General features: G+C 42.5%; 1 protein-coding gene across 17 annotated transcripts in view, besides 1 other annotated feature; it reads left to right on the forward strand.

Moving 5' to 3' along the window:
- TCF7L2 (transcription factor 7 like 2) overlaps nt 1–14440 on the forward strand; it is a 217432-nt gene that overhangs the window by 170296 nt on the left and 32696 nt on the right. The window contains exon 1 of one of the 17 annotated variants that reach the window (NM_001349871.1): nt 6091–6339. The exons of 15 other annotated variants lie outside the window; for them this stretch is intronic. In NM_001349871.1, the coding sequence (NP_001336800.1) occupies nt 6337–6339 (3 nt within the window). In that variant the 5' untranslated portion in view covers nt 6091–6336. Of the gene's footprint in view, nt 1–6090; nt 6340–8728; nt 9446–14440 lie in introns of those variants that run through there. One more of the 17 variants, NM_001349870.2, reaches the window with a different exon arrangement.
- Nucleotides 6131–6250: a silencer, noted in NCBI's record as "silent region_2836". NCBI's record gives its function as "represses an Ori minimal core promoter by ATAC-STARR-seq in GM12878 lymphoblastoid cells {active_cell/tissue: GM12878}" and the evidence as "EXISTENCE:reporter gene assay evidence [ECO:0000049][PMID:35858748]".

Below are 14440 nucleotides of genomic sequence, written 5' to 3' on the forward strand. Positions count from 1 at the left end.
ACTATTCTTTGGAGTGGTTGGTAATCAGAGTCTTGGGTACTGAGAAAATCATACCTTCTAGAGGAGTGTTCAGAGGCAGAATGTCTTCTGTTTTCAAGGGGACGTAGGAGGGTGTTATGAAATACTGAGTTGCACCGAGCACAAGAAAATTTACAACAAACTAACAGCACCAGTGTCACAGGAGGATACCGATAGCGGAGTAGATTGTGGTGGATTAGATTATGGCCTACAAACCCTGAGTTTCAGAACAGTTTCTCAACCAGACAAAGCCTCAGGAAGTATGAGGCCAAGAGCAGTTACACATGCATTAAATTGGCTAAATGCTTGGCTCAGAAAAATAATGTCTGATGGTGTCACCTGCATCTCTTTCATCTTCCAGACTCTTCCAAACTTGGATTTTATTAAATCAGGATGCTTCTTGTTGATTTAAAGGCATGATAGATGTCTTCTAATCTAAGGAGTATTGTAGACAAAAGCAAAGAGGGAGTATGGTCAAATGAAGGTACTTCTATCCCTTCGCAAAATGGGGGGAAAAGGGATTGAGGCAAAAGGAAGAGTCAGCCTTCAAACCACTGTAATCTTAGAGGAAGGGTAATATGATTGGAGACTTGACATGTTTCAACTGAATGAAAAATCATGATACCTTTACCAAAATTGTTAGCAAAAGGGAACTGGCAGGGATAGGAATGGAGAGAGCCTTGCCCCTCTTCTCGCTCTCCCGCCCTCTTCCTTCCTTCCTCTCCTAGCTGTCTGTGAGGAGCAAAGCAGGTGGCTCCCTGTGGCTGACTTTTCATGACAACATGCCATTAGAAATTGCCGTCCTGTTGATCAATCCTCTCGACATGACAGATTTGCCGCAAGGCCTGGCTCTTTGAGCGCCAGCACTGTGGCTTTTCCCTCCTTTTTTCCTGCACTAATTGGTGAAAGTTTTTTTACTGTGCTAGTGGCAGAGGAAATTCTTTTGAACGTTGTCACAATCAAGTGTTGACTTCTTTAGAATTGCAAGTAGGTTAAGTGAGTATCAACATTGGGGGGTGAATGGGAGGAGGGAAAACACTAACACAAAGTTACTACTACCTAAATTTTATGATTAGAGTAGTGTTGGAAAGCAAACTAATTGGATTTACCCCCCTTCTCTCAATATATATATTGTGGGGGGAAATGCACACGTACGCACTTGCACACGCACACATACACACAACACACACACACGTGCACGCACACATACACACAACACACACACACACACACACAAATGAAGGCAAGTATTTATTAAAATCACAGCCCTTTAAAACTTCCATTATGTTTTGTCATGGGGGTGCTGAGGCAGCCCTGACATTTGCAATGGGGAAAACACGTTGCCATATTGATTGAAGAAAATACGTCCATTAGTTTCTTCCTGTAATACACGGATTCGGAACAACAGTAACACAATCATTACATAACACACTGTAAATCAAAGGAATATATGAAGCTTCTATTAGTCGAGCACATTTTACTCTGAACTTAGTGACATTCTTCTGTCCAAAATCAGCATACAAAGAATCAAACCTCTTGGCAAAGGATATGTCCTTAGACATTGATTCTTCTCCTGAAGTATCAAGATACACTTCTGCTTAAATTCTGACATTCTAGTTTATACATAAGATTATTTTTTAACCTAGAACATAACAACCTTTCTTAAATGATTTAAATCCAAACTTCTCTATGAAACTGAGAGTTAATAGGGTTTATCTTTCTATTTAGACAGAATTTGAATTGGAAACCTATTTTTAATATTCTATGATTCAAAATGTTTACTGAAGGAATTTGTAAAATTAATCTTTGCTTAAACATATATTCCTTGATGATTAAAAAACTTGTTAGATTAAAAGCATTGTTTAGCCAGATTGAGACAGAATATGTGTATTTACATTTTTCATGTCACAGAATCTGTGTAGTACATTCTCATTCTTATCTATATACCATTTCAGATAATTCCAAGTTGGTAAGAAAGTAACAGAGAGTATGAAACCCTGCAACTTAACCGTGGGTTTGTGACTATCAGGAAGAAATTGTATGCAGGAATAAAGATTTTGTACTGGCCCATCATCTAAAAATAGCAACCACATGTAAAAAAGAGGCTACTTCTATTTAGCAGTAGGTATTTACTAGGAAAGGAGAATTATAGCAATAAAAGTTACTAAGATTATTAGCGGAATTTCTAGTAAATTGCTTTAGTTTTAGGTACAAAATGGAAAGAAGATGGGAAAGTGTGGTCCGGAATTACCTGGGCCCGGTATCCCTCCTTGGCCATCACAATTGCTGCAACCGTTATAGGGAAGAGAAGTGTAGAAACCAGAAACCCCTATTGAAAGAAGCATCAATTCATATAATTAATTTTGCCATTATAAAAATCATTTGTAAAATTTGCATTATTAACATTATCAAGTCACTAGTTGGTAAGACATCAGACATGACGAGAGTGAAGGGCAGCTTAGGGAGAACTGGGCTTTAAACCCTCAGTAGATCGGAGTTAGGATCAAAGGCGCTTGCTTTATGTGGCTGTGCTAGACTTTGAAGTCATGACTGCACCTACAGCACTCATTTCATCAAGTTCACTGGTGTCTTAATAGCAGATCAATAAGTTTCAAAGTCGGAGAGTTAATTTGATACTAGTGCTGATGCGGTCGTGCTGGGGAAGCCGAGAGAGAGGCAGAGAAAGCTGCCTATTAACAACTCCGGTTCAGAGCGCACAAAGATGCAGATTAAGGATATATCCATGGCCCTGAAAAGACAGGCTCTGGCCAGGAATGGGGAAGCTCTGGATTGATAAAGCAAAGGCTCTTTACTTTAGACATCTCAGGTTATTTGGAAGTCAGTCTATGCTTGAAAAATCTTTAGTCGGATACACATAAGTATGTGTGTTTACACATGTCTGAGTTTTGGTCTAGATAAACAGGTGATGGGGGAAACGTCTGCACATGCCTTTCTAAAATAAAGGAACATATCTGCATAAGGACTATTGTAGGTTATGGGATGATGTGGGGGAAAAGGTAGGAAAACTGTGATTTTTGAAGGGAGCATTGAATGTGTGCTTTCATCATAGGGATTACGTTGATTTTTTTTAAAGTGGCATTGGGAATATATCCTTAAGTGAATCATATCTAGGCAATAATAATTTGACACAAGTCCATTTTGATCCATTTTTTAAAAAAGGAGTGCTAGAGGAGAAGTCTTAGCCCCAAATTCCTTTCCTTCTTTGTAGCGTACCTTGACGTGCGTGTGAACAAATGGGATTCTTTATTGCTTTCTTGTATTCTTATCTCATCCTCTTAACCGATTTTGTCTCAAGTCTTCCCACTTAGAAAGTGATATATTTTTAGGACCTATTCCAAAAACTTGTTGGATATAAAGAGCACTGAAAGAGAGAAGAAGAAAAGTTGGGGCAAGATAGGATGTTTGTATGTATGTTTGAGATTTTTCTTTGTTTTCAGCGATTTTACTGGGGTCCTTCTGACGGGATAGGCATAAACATTATGGGGTGTGTGGCAGAGATGACATCAGTGGCTATGGCAGGAGGGGATTTGGAAAGGCTCTTTTTTTGGGCAAAAGGGGAGGGTGTAAAGATACAGAGTTCAAAGATGCAAATCACGAGAAAGTAGAAACCTTAAAAAAAATTTTTTTTATGAGAACTTTGCCATCTGTATATACAGCACAGGCTTCCCAGCATCGAAGGTCAGATTCACACCCTTTTCGAACAAAACTCTAATTTAGAATGTTCATCTAAGGGTTGATAATGGTATTAGAAGGCCAGTAGGGTGGTCAGTGGGTGTTGTAGATTAGCTCAGTGGCCATTACAGCTTTACCTAGACCCCCACGATTCATTGGGTAGATTAACCATCACATCTGTCATTTTATCCCTTTTACCACATTTAAAATACGAAAAGGGGGGTGGAAATATCATCTCGAAGACAACTTATATGGAGCAAGCCAATGAAGCCTGCTATTCCTAAAACATCTAAGAAATCGCCGTATATATCTATGTATGCATATATGTATAATATAGTTATAAGTGATATAACTCTGCAGGACATAGATATAGATGTTGAGATGATTTGGGTGAATTCAAATATGTTGGTTATGCCAGGTAAGCTGCAAATTTTTAAGCTTAATTCCTTTTAATTAGTCTTCTGCCTATGTTGTAGAGAAAGTTCTGTGTTTTAATGATCTCGTAAAACGTTTTCTGCTACTGGGCTGATTGCGCAGTTCGTTAAGCTTCTGTTAGTTTAATTTCTGATAAAACTTCCATTTCAACTTTGCGGCACCCTAAATGAGACCATCTTGGCTCCGAAGGAGTCTAGCGGGCACTCTTTCCGAATGGCGATTTGGGATCTGCTGCATGTATCAGAGGCTTTCGTTGAGTTGTGTTGTTTCCTGTGTGTTTATGACAGAAAGATGTCATCGTTAAAGGAAACTTAAGAGTTTCTGTAAATGTAATGGTTCATCCTGAATAAAGTGAGAGAGACAGTGCTTGGAATCTGGGGAATAAGGGTGGAAAGAGCTGAGCTGATGAAGGTGTTTCTTGTCAAATTTGTATAGGAATTATTTACTGTGCTGTCTTTCCTGAGCCGCTACAGTAAAAGTGAAGACATGGAAAATTATCCCAGATGGGACGAATCGCTCGTTCTCTGTTCTTTTTTTAAAAAGAAAAGATTTCAGAAAAAAAAAAAAGTCGTCTTTTTCTTTAGAACAGTATGAATAAAATCTGGACAGCTGTCGAAAAAGATATGCCGTCTGCATTTTTTTTTAATTTCTAGCCACCACCATAACTAAATAGCTTGAATAGTACCTCTTTTCTTTTTTTTCCCCTTCATACATAATGATCTCTACTTCATTAAAAGCGTATTAATCTGGTTCCCAGTCTCTTGGGAGACACCTTAAGATGATGATATTGTGGGTTTTTTCCCCCCGAATTGTTTAAAAAAAAATTCTAGCAGATTTGGTCCCTGTCAGTCAGAAATAATTGTGTTCTTAATCTTGTCCCTGATGGATGACTCGGAGTTCAGCAACGGGCCGGCTCCAATGACAAATACAATATTAATATTCATTAACTGCTTTGACAATGCTAATTTTGATGCAGTAGTAAAGGGCCTTCCAAAGTTACCGGCCAAAGCATCAGAGCTGCGCAAGGTGGCAAGATAATTTGTGCTGGTTTGCTGAGCTGAAGGCTTTTAAAGTCTATAGCAAAAAGCTAGGTACCACAAACAAAAAAGAGAAAGGGAAAAAAGTTCTGAAGCATTGGAAGGCAGGGCTGCGGAAATAATACGATCACAGTCCGCTAAAAAATTTGACACCTCTGATGCAGTTTCTTTGAGTGAAATTTCTACAAAGTTGCAACAAAAAAGCATAGCATGGTAAGTCAGCACATTCTTGATTTTGTTTAATCTTTTTGATCTTTTCAATTATCGCTATTTGAAGATCAATAGTCATTTTTTCCTACTATGCTTAGAAGACGCGCAGCGGTGGTTTAATATGTGTTAGGACCATTTGCTTTAAAGGAACACATCCACAAGTTTCGGTAGGTTTTGTTTTTTTTTTAAGTTAGTCATGAAAAATGTTATACAGTAAATTGTTCTGAATTCTTTTACATATGGGTGTTTTTAATGATCTATATTGGTTTTTGTATCCCCCCACCTCCAAAAAAAAGAATTCAGCAAGATAATTAAGCTCTGGATGTTGCCAAGAATTTTGAGAGTACTTTCAGTTGGCAGAAAACTTTGGAGTGAAGTGGTCCCTCCAAGTTTATCTAAATTCAGCGAGTTTCCTCCCCTGCCTTCTCTGAATGGCATCAGATAGCTATTAAAGCGTAATTTCACTGGAGAACTGCAAAGCATTACTTTCACCAACTTAGGTGAAGTTCTTTGGACTATTGAAATTGCCTTTATGTTTGCTAAGTCGGCAAACAAAATATCAGGCTTTGTTCTTTTGATTGAATGCCGGGGTTTGGGGGAAAAAAAGAAGAGTAAGAAAGCCCTGCCTTTTTTTTTTAAACGCCCCCTCCCTTTTGTGGGGGGGTGGGTTGTTGTGGAATCGGGGGAGATCCCAGTTATTGTGCTCTTCCCTATCAAGCGAGATAATTCTGTGAATGGAACTGTGCGTGAGCATCTTGTCTGGCGGCGCTGCTGGTGTGTGCTGCTCCCCTGTGCCGCGGGTGCGCGGCGGCGGCGCGGGCTGCAGGGCGGGTGCTGCCCTCCAGTGGAGCCCGCGGCCGGCGCGGGCCCTGGGCAGCATCTGGGCGCAGGCAGCATGCCCGCGAGCCGGCAGCGGGAAGGACAGCGCCGCAACCCTCTCTAGATGGTAAGCGCGGCCGGCGGCGGGCGGGCGGGCAGGGGTGCGCGGTGGCCGGCCCGCTGCATCCCGCGCGCCTGCCCTGCTGCGTCCACGGCTGTCCAGTCCGCATGCATGCTCTCAGCCTTTGCCATGTTCGCTGTCACTTTGCGGTAACTTTCAGGTTGATGTACCTTGACTGGTAAGCTGCCGGGGTGGATGCAGTAGATTTATTTTTTTTAGCCTCTCTTTAAAACAAAACAAAACAAAACAAAAAAAACGAAAAAGAGAAATTGACTATACCTCCCCCCACCCCGAATTTCAGCTTGTGACTATAAAAACATGCTTTTTTATTATTATTAACTTGGACGTGAATACGGAGGGGTTTCGGGTTTTTTTTTTTTTTCTGTCCACCAAGTTAAAGACACCAATGCTCCACCCTCCTCGCTCCCCTCCTCCCCATCCCCAAATATTTTCGTAAAGAATCAGCATTTTGCTACTTTTCGTCCATCCATTCCTCCAAGACCCATTTCCCCTTCCTCCCTTCTTGAACCTCTTTATTTAAAACAAAACAAAAGTTTGCTGATGCTGCAGATGCGGACCGTGGAATGTAAATGAGCAGTTCCTCCCACCTCCTTACTTCATTCCTCCTGCACATGATTGTAATTTCATGCTGAAAGGAAAGGAAGCTTTCGTTTTTGTTTTGTTGTTGTTGTTTTGTTTTGTTTTGGGGAAGTGTTTTTTTGTTGTTGCTGTCTTTTTTTTTAAACCCTACAGAACTTTGCAGCACTTGATCACCTTTTGATTTTTTTGTGGGAATGTTCTAAGCGTGGTGTACTTCTGACAAACTGGGGGCACCCTGGGGATGAATTTAGAGTAGTGCGATGGGATGGCAAATATCCGGAAAGAGTTTCTGAGGAGCAGTTTTTAGTTTGAAGAAATTCAAGAAATTTCCCTTTACTTTTTAAGGAAGAGGGGGTCTGTCTAGCATGAGTTAGCTTATGTTGCTGCGTCCTTTTTTTTTTTTTTTTTTTTTCCATTTTTCGGTCTTTTGAGAAAGCTAGAAAATAAATTCTTAGTCAAAGTTGCCCATCCTGTTTGCCGCACTTTATAAGTTATTGTTGCTGAATGATTGGGAGCTGTCCATCAGCGGCAGAGAACTTGCAGTTTACTTAAGAAATTGCGTGTGTGACAAAAGCAGCTGCCAGGAGTGTGGTGGTCCGCGTGAATAGAGGGAGAGAAGGCAATTAGGGGGCTGTGTGGTTGGGGCTTTTTACTTGTCAAAGTGGAGGCTCATTGCTTTTGTTACCACCATGTAAAGGGAATGGCAGGGTTTTGTTTTGGTATTAAGGGCCTTAAAGATTGCTGCCTGACACTTACACAGGAAGGCCAGATAAGTCCAGAAAGAGAGGCCACGGAGCAGTATTTTAAAAAAGAAGAAAAGAAGAAATGAAGAATTCCCACTTTTTTGTTATTTTTAAGCCTGCCCAGCCCTTGTTTTTGTTGATTTTTTTGGTGGGGAGCGGCGAGGGTGATTAACTTGTCCCGTGTCTTAACAGATTGTTTAAAGACCTACATCGTGAAAACAGTCTTGTGGGCTTGGAGATAAACAGATGGGCAATCAGTTCAGTAAATTAAAAACATCTCTACCTTAGGTGTCCTGCCGCCAGAAGAAACCAAATCTTTGCCACTGGTCTTGCTTCAAGCCACACAAGTCCAGGATCCCATGTGGCAGCAGGGGTGTTTTCTTACCTGCATGCAAATCGGAGTTGTGTGTTTGCTTTTGAAGAGGGTGAAATGGCTTAACACTTGGGGTGGGAAAAGACCGGAAAAGCGTTCTGGATGAGTTTTGTCCCCTGCAACTTTTTCTGTCTGTAATCCCTCCATGAGCAGCCACCCTCCCACACTCCCCTCCTTCATGTAAAAGAGGACGATTTCTGGCCTGTGATGTCTGAGTGTCTCAACTCAAGTTAAGTTAAAACCACACAAATGTACCCGGCCCTGGATCCCATAAGAGCCCCAGGAAAAGTAAGTCGGGTTTGTGGAATTCAGCTCTAGCCTTTGCATCCCTCTGCCGTTTCCCTTCCTTCTCTCTCTCTCTCTTTCTTTCTCTCTCTGTGTTCCTGGGGAAAGCTCACAAAACTCAACAGTCAAAAAAGCGAGTTAGCATTCTGACTATTGGAATACTAGCGAGCCCAGGAAGCTTCGTTTCTTCTGCTTCCAGGGAGGTCAGTTGAAAATCTTTCAGGCACATTCTGTTACTCTGGAAGGAAGAGAGGGTGTATACAGGGCAGGCAAGGCCCTGCAAAGTGTCACTTCCGTGTCACTGTGACAAGAAAATATCCTTTCCTCCTCCCTCCCCTCTCCCATCGCAGCCCTCTCCCTAAGAAATTTGTTTTGAGGGATTTGACAATCTTGCAGATAAAGTGCCTGCCTCCTGCACTCGGTTGATCATTTTCCCTCATGGCTGACCGTAATTTCTTTGCTACTCTTAGCGGCAGCTCTGTCCCTGCTGCCCAAGGTAACGGGTGAGGGAGGGGACTTTGCTGAGGTGCCCTGAGCTGGCTGGGGAACATGGACCTTCCCCCTTCCTTCACGGATTCTGTAGTGGCAAAGATTAGAAAGTAGAAGGAGTTTTTAAAATTTTTTTTAAAAAATTAAATCTGCAACCAGCTGAACTCTAGATTATTAGTGGACTTTTTTGTTTTTTATTTTTAAGATTTTTTTAGGGATGTGTGTACAGGGGGAAGGATTAACAAGATAATTCTAGGCAATATGAGCGACAACTTTGAGCATTTTGAGCCTACTCGGCCAGGAATCTGGAGCCATTTCGATCTTTTTAGATGCTTTTTTTCAGTTCTTTAAGTGAAAGGTTTAAAGGGAGGGGAAGCTGGGAGGAAAAAGAAAAGTGAGAAAAGCAGAAAGGGAGGAGGAAGAAAAACTGGCCCAGTCCCATCTCGAAGGTACAGAGAAAGTTTTTTTAGAGGTGGAGAGAGGGAAAACCAAGGCTGTTATGTACCCTAGGGACACAATTTTAGTGGGAATGGAAGATTTGAGTGGTAAGGGAGGCGCAGTGGCCTCCGGGGTCTCTCTGTTCCAGCAGTTGGGCGGTTGGCACCTCAATTTGAATTGCTGGGTGAGTAGTGGGGTGTGTGGTGTGTGTATGGGGGGATGTGTGTATGTTCGTGTCCATGCTTATGGTATTGACCATTAAACCTATGCTTTTTCCCCCCCCTTAATTTAGATCATGGGAAGGAAAAAACAAAACAAGAATAAATGGTCAACTCAAGCTATGCCCTTTCTTTGAGTCCTTTTCACAGCAGTTTTTTGGGGAGGGGGAGAAAGGGTTAAAAAAAGATGGGGAGGAGAGAAGTCTCACTTTCATCACAGTCCTTACACTTCTATGGTAAGGCAGACCCTGTTCCCAAAGTACGGGTGAGCTGGAATCTGGGAAGGGGTGGTACGGTTTGGAATTTCTTCTAACAAATAATTGTTTTCTTCACCCACCAGGGTGGGCTCCATCAGAAAAGAGAGAAGGAAAAATGACATTGCCTCATAGAGGAGCATACTTTAAAAGCTTGAAAGTTTTGAGTGATAAGGCTTTAACAGTAGCAGGGCTGTGTAAACTGTGTATTTTGGTTTCATATTTAATGCTAACTTTCTGTTGCTCCGTCTTTAGTTGTCAATCTCCAGATTTAGATGCTGGCTTTTTAGGGCTATGGTCTTGCTTGTGGTGTGTTTTGTAAACTTAATATAAAATGTGTTTTGGAAACCCGAGCAAGAGCCTGATGACAGCTCATTGTGCTGTTAATGATTAGGGAGAAGGCCCTTTTGCAATATGAATTTGGGATTTAGGATCCATTATACTCTCTTCAACTGTGTGGTGATATCTTTTTAAAAAATTATTATTATTATTATTATTATTATTTTTGAGACGGAGTTTCGCTCTTATTACCCAGGCTGGAGTGCAGTGGCGAGATCTCGGCTCACTGCAACCTCCACCTCCCGGGTTCAAGCAATTCCCCTGCCTCAGCTTCCTGAGTAGCTGGTATTACAGGCACCCGCCACCATGCCCAGATAATTTTTGTATTTTTAGTAGAGACGGGGTTTCATCACGTTGGCCAGGCTAGTCTTGAACTCCTGACCTCAGGTGATCCGCCCGTCTCGGTCTCCCAAAGTGCTGGGATTACAGGCGTGAGCCACCGTGCCCGGCCGGAGTGATTATCTTTTGCCACAAGCTGTAAGAGGATTCTCTTGAATTTGGAGGCAATTCCTTAATTACTTTTATTATTTGTGATGTTATTGTATGACCAAACAGAAATAATCTGCAGTGGTCGATAAGCTCTTCCATCCAATTTTGGGGTGAGAAGGAATGAAATATACCATAGACTTATGTTCATATTTTCAACATCATGAATTAAATTCTGTGTGTCAAATTAAAACACAAGATCATAGATAGTTCTCTCGTTGAGCGTAAAATAATGATGGGTGTAAATCTTGGTTTTCCTTTCTAGCTGTGTGCAACTCTTTGGTTCAATCTAGGATTGTGTAAACTGTCAGGAATGGTGGTGAAGAGAGTGGAGGCTGTGTTGCAAATGTGTATGTTGTGTTACTGCAAATATCACACCCAGTACAGTCTCCCATGTTGAGGTTCTAGACCCTAGTTTACTCAAATTACCTGCGTTACTTAATAGTGGTCCTGTTGGCTTTGATGAGAGTAAACCACTATTCTTGATGTCTTAGGAGAAGGGAGTTCCTTTGAAAACGTAAATTCCCGACTCCAGTGATACAGGTATTATGATCTCTGTATTGTCACAACAGGCTGCTGCATCGGCATTTTCTGGAAGCAGCAGAGCCTGAAACCTTGTATTCTTAGGGAAACCTCCCCTTTGTGGTTTGGGGTTGTTGGGGACCTGGCTGAGCTGTGTAATAGAATTCTTTCCTTCTGCAATATTTTGGAATGTGATGAAATCCTGACATGCCCTCCAGATTACGTAGTTCTGCACACATTTGAGGATTTTTGAAAAAATTCAACTTTGCCTGGGTCACTCCCTCGTTACCTTAAACTTGCAACACATCAGCTGGAGATCAGAGGGAGCAGCAATTGTGTTTGCCCTCCTTGTCCCATGGTGACTCTGTGTCATTTTCACGCGTGTTATTTATTCTGGCTGTAGATGCCCATTAAAGGATGCCCATGTTTGGGATACTAACAAGGCAGGATAGAACGGAACAATGCAGTTCTGCCTTTGTGTTCGTCTTCCTTTCTGTCGGTCTTTGCTGAATCACAGGGTTTGAGCATTTGTGTTTGTTGAGCCACATGAGTGGAAACATTTATTCTTCCTCTTGGCTTACCTCCTCTTTTTCTAGGGAGAAGATTTACCTGATCAGTGAAGGAAACAGCTGTTTCTTGAGCTTTTCTCAGACTCCATGGAGTAGGCATGATTTTCAAATGCAGGCTGAGATTCGAAAGTTAGGCACAGGGTATACAAGAAAAACAAAAGACCTTTTTATGCAGCTGTTCCTTGTAAATAAATTAGAAAGTTGGTGTCAGATTTTGTTCACTACTTCTTTCTTTAATTCCCCAGGATGTAATAACCATTATGCTCTTAAAATTTACTCTAAATCAAAATTGGTGATTTCCTTTCCATTATATTTAGGAATCCCTAGATTTGGGGTTGTTGTATTTGGTGGCGAGGGGGTGGTCTGGAAATCATTATTATTTGTTAAAAGTTGTTTTGAATTTGAGCTTTTGGATTTCTTCATTTGGGATAGGTTCGATTTATTTCTGGCTCGATTTTGAAGATCTGCTCTCCTAGAAACAGCTGTACTCTCTTACCCAATTCCCAAACATTCTCTGTGAACTCGGGCACTTAACAAGATTGATTATGTTAACGCTAATCATTTAATACCCAAGTAGTAGAGAAATATTTGGCAGGAGGGTGGAGGTTGCAAATTCCTGGGAAATTACTTAGGGGTGAAGTGGCTGGTTCTTCATCCCTGAGACCTGGCAGAGGATTAGGACAGAGGGCCCCGTTGTGCCTGTCGCACTCCCTCACTGACCTCCAGGTTGAGAATTTTGTGACGCTGCCGGAGGGAGGCAGAGGCAGGCAGGAAGAAAACCCTGGAAACTCGCTGATCAGGGGCGAGCCTGGACCGGGTGGGCTAAGATGTAAGCTTGCAAGTGTTTTAAAGGTTGGCTGGGGGAGGCACAATGGGATGTTTTCTTTTTAATTGCAAAATAAATGAGAATGAGGGGAAATAAATTATGTTTAATGAACTTAACTGGAAGTAATTGTTCAAGAGCCTGTGAATGCACAGCTTTACTGGGTCGGCCCTTGGCTGCGGTTTTCACAAAGCCAAGCAGCTGGTGCACATCTTTATTTTCCAGGTTCGAATGTTCCTTTATTCCTCCATCTCAACACCTTCTTTATTTTCCAGGTACGAATGTTCCTCTATTCCTCCATCTTAACACCTTCTTTATTTTCCAGGTTCGAATGTTCCTCTATTCCTCCATCCCAACACCTCCAGCCCACCCACCACCTCTCACCCCCCAGCCCTTCCATCCTCCTTTTGAGGATAGAGAAAAGGTCTTTAAGAAGAGCTGAGCTTGGTCCTCTAGACCCTTCATGTTTGGCAGTCTGTTTGGTGTGTTACCAGCTGGGTGGTTATAGTATAGAAAGGGCCACCCCAAGAAAGGCCAAGGACTTGAAGTGATCGAGTTAGTTCTAGGTATTTGCATGTGTGTGAGAGAATTTGGATGAAAACTGACTGCACGTTTCTCCTCTCCCTGCTTGCTCTGTTCAGTCATTTCCCAGCAAGAAGAATTTTAATGCCTGTGTGAATCCATGAGAAACTATGAGTCGGCAAAATTTCACAGACGGCAGGGAGAATCATCTCTCTTCCTCTTCTTGCTGTCTAAATGGATTTGATTCCAGAGAGGGAGAGGGAGAGAAATAAAAGCCAGCTATTGATAATTTACAATACAAATAAGCAGCACCCTTCCTAGGAGGCTCTCAGGGATTGGAGACGCTCTAACTCTGCAGCCTGCGGGGGTAGGTTCTGCAGCAGCCCGGCCAGAGGATGCAGGCTGTGTACTGCGGCTGGCAGGGTGGGCTTTGCTTTTCTGCATCTCACAGGCAGATCTCTTTTCTCTTACCACCTTGTTTCTCCAAGTAAAACTCGAACCCTGTGAAACCTTCTGTCTTTTATTTATTATTTCCAACAGGCAGTGCTGTAGCTATCGATAGAAGTCTTGTCCAGGGAAACAATCCACCATTAGCTGGGAGCAAGGCCTTAGACAGAAAGGAGCAACATTCAACTAAGGAAGACCCCGGCCACGGTGATGCATGGGTCCTGGCTAGCTGCGAGGGGAGAGGGGCACGGGCCAGGGTAAAATGCTCTGAGGAAGCCCACCCATTTGGGGCCACGGGAGGAAGTCATGACTGCTGTTTTTATTCTGTGTATATATAAGAGGTTTGCAGGATGCAAAAGCAAGTGTTGGCCTGCTGGGTTGGGATGGGACTGTCCATGCAGGCCTAGGCCTAGGTTGCACTGGCTGTGTCTCCTGTGGCCATCCCACCAGCAGAAATAGTTGCTAACTGCTGGGGTCATAGGCTGTTGGGGACAGGGGGGTTACCTTAACTGACTGTTCACCACCCTCACAGGCTGGAAAAACAGGACTAGTTGAGTTGCCAAAGGGTAGTTGATGGATAAGAAACAGCCCTTCCTTCATTGTGTTCCCAGCCTGTCCTCTTCCCCAACTTACCACATCTTCAGTGATGTGAAACTTTTATTAACGTTTTAGCGGTTGCCATTGGTCTTGCTGCAGCCATAGTAAACGGCATCTGGAAAAATGCATAGAGGTGGACTATAAACCAATTTTTAAATGTAAACCTGGAGTGAATGGTGTCCCTTCCTGATGCTGATTTCAGCCCCTGGGAGGGCTGGTAAGTGAAGACCCCCAAAGACCTTCCATGCCCACCCTGAGGAGGGGAAAAGGCTGACAAATGCTCCTCTGTTGCTTTAGTTTTATTGTGCAGAGCTCCTAAAGGCACTTTCTGGCCCCATTTTGCTTCTGCAGAAAGAGGCAGCAATAGGGGCGTATTGAAGAGGAGGGCCAAGGGAGACACCA

This window comes from Homo sapiens, chromosome 10 (genome assembly GCF_000001405.40).
Source record: "Homo sapiens chromosome 10, GRCh38.p14 Primary Assembly".
Classification (NCBI taxonomy): Eukaryota; Metazoa; Chordata; class Mammalia; order Primates; family Hominidae; genus Homo; species Homo sapiens.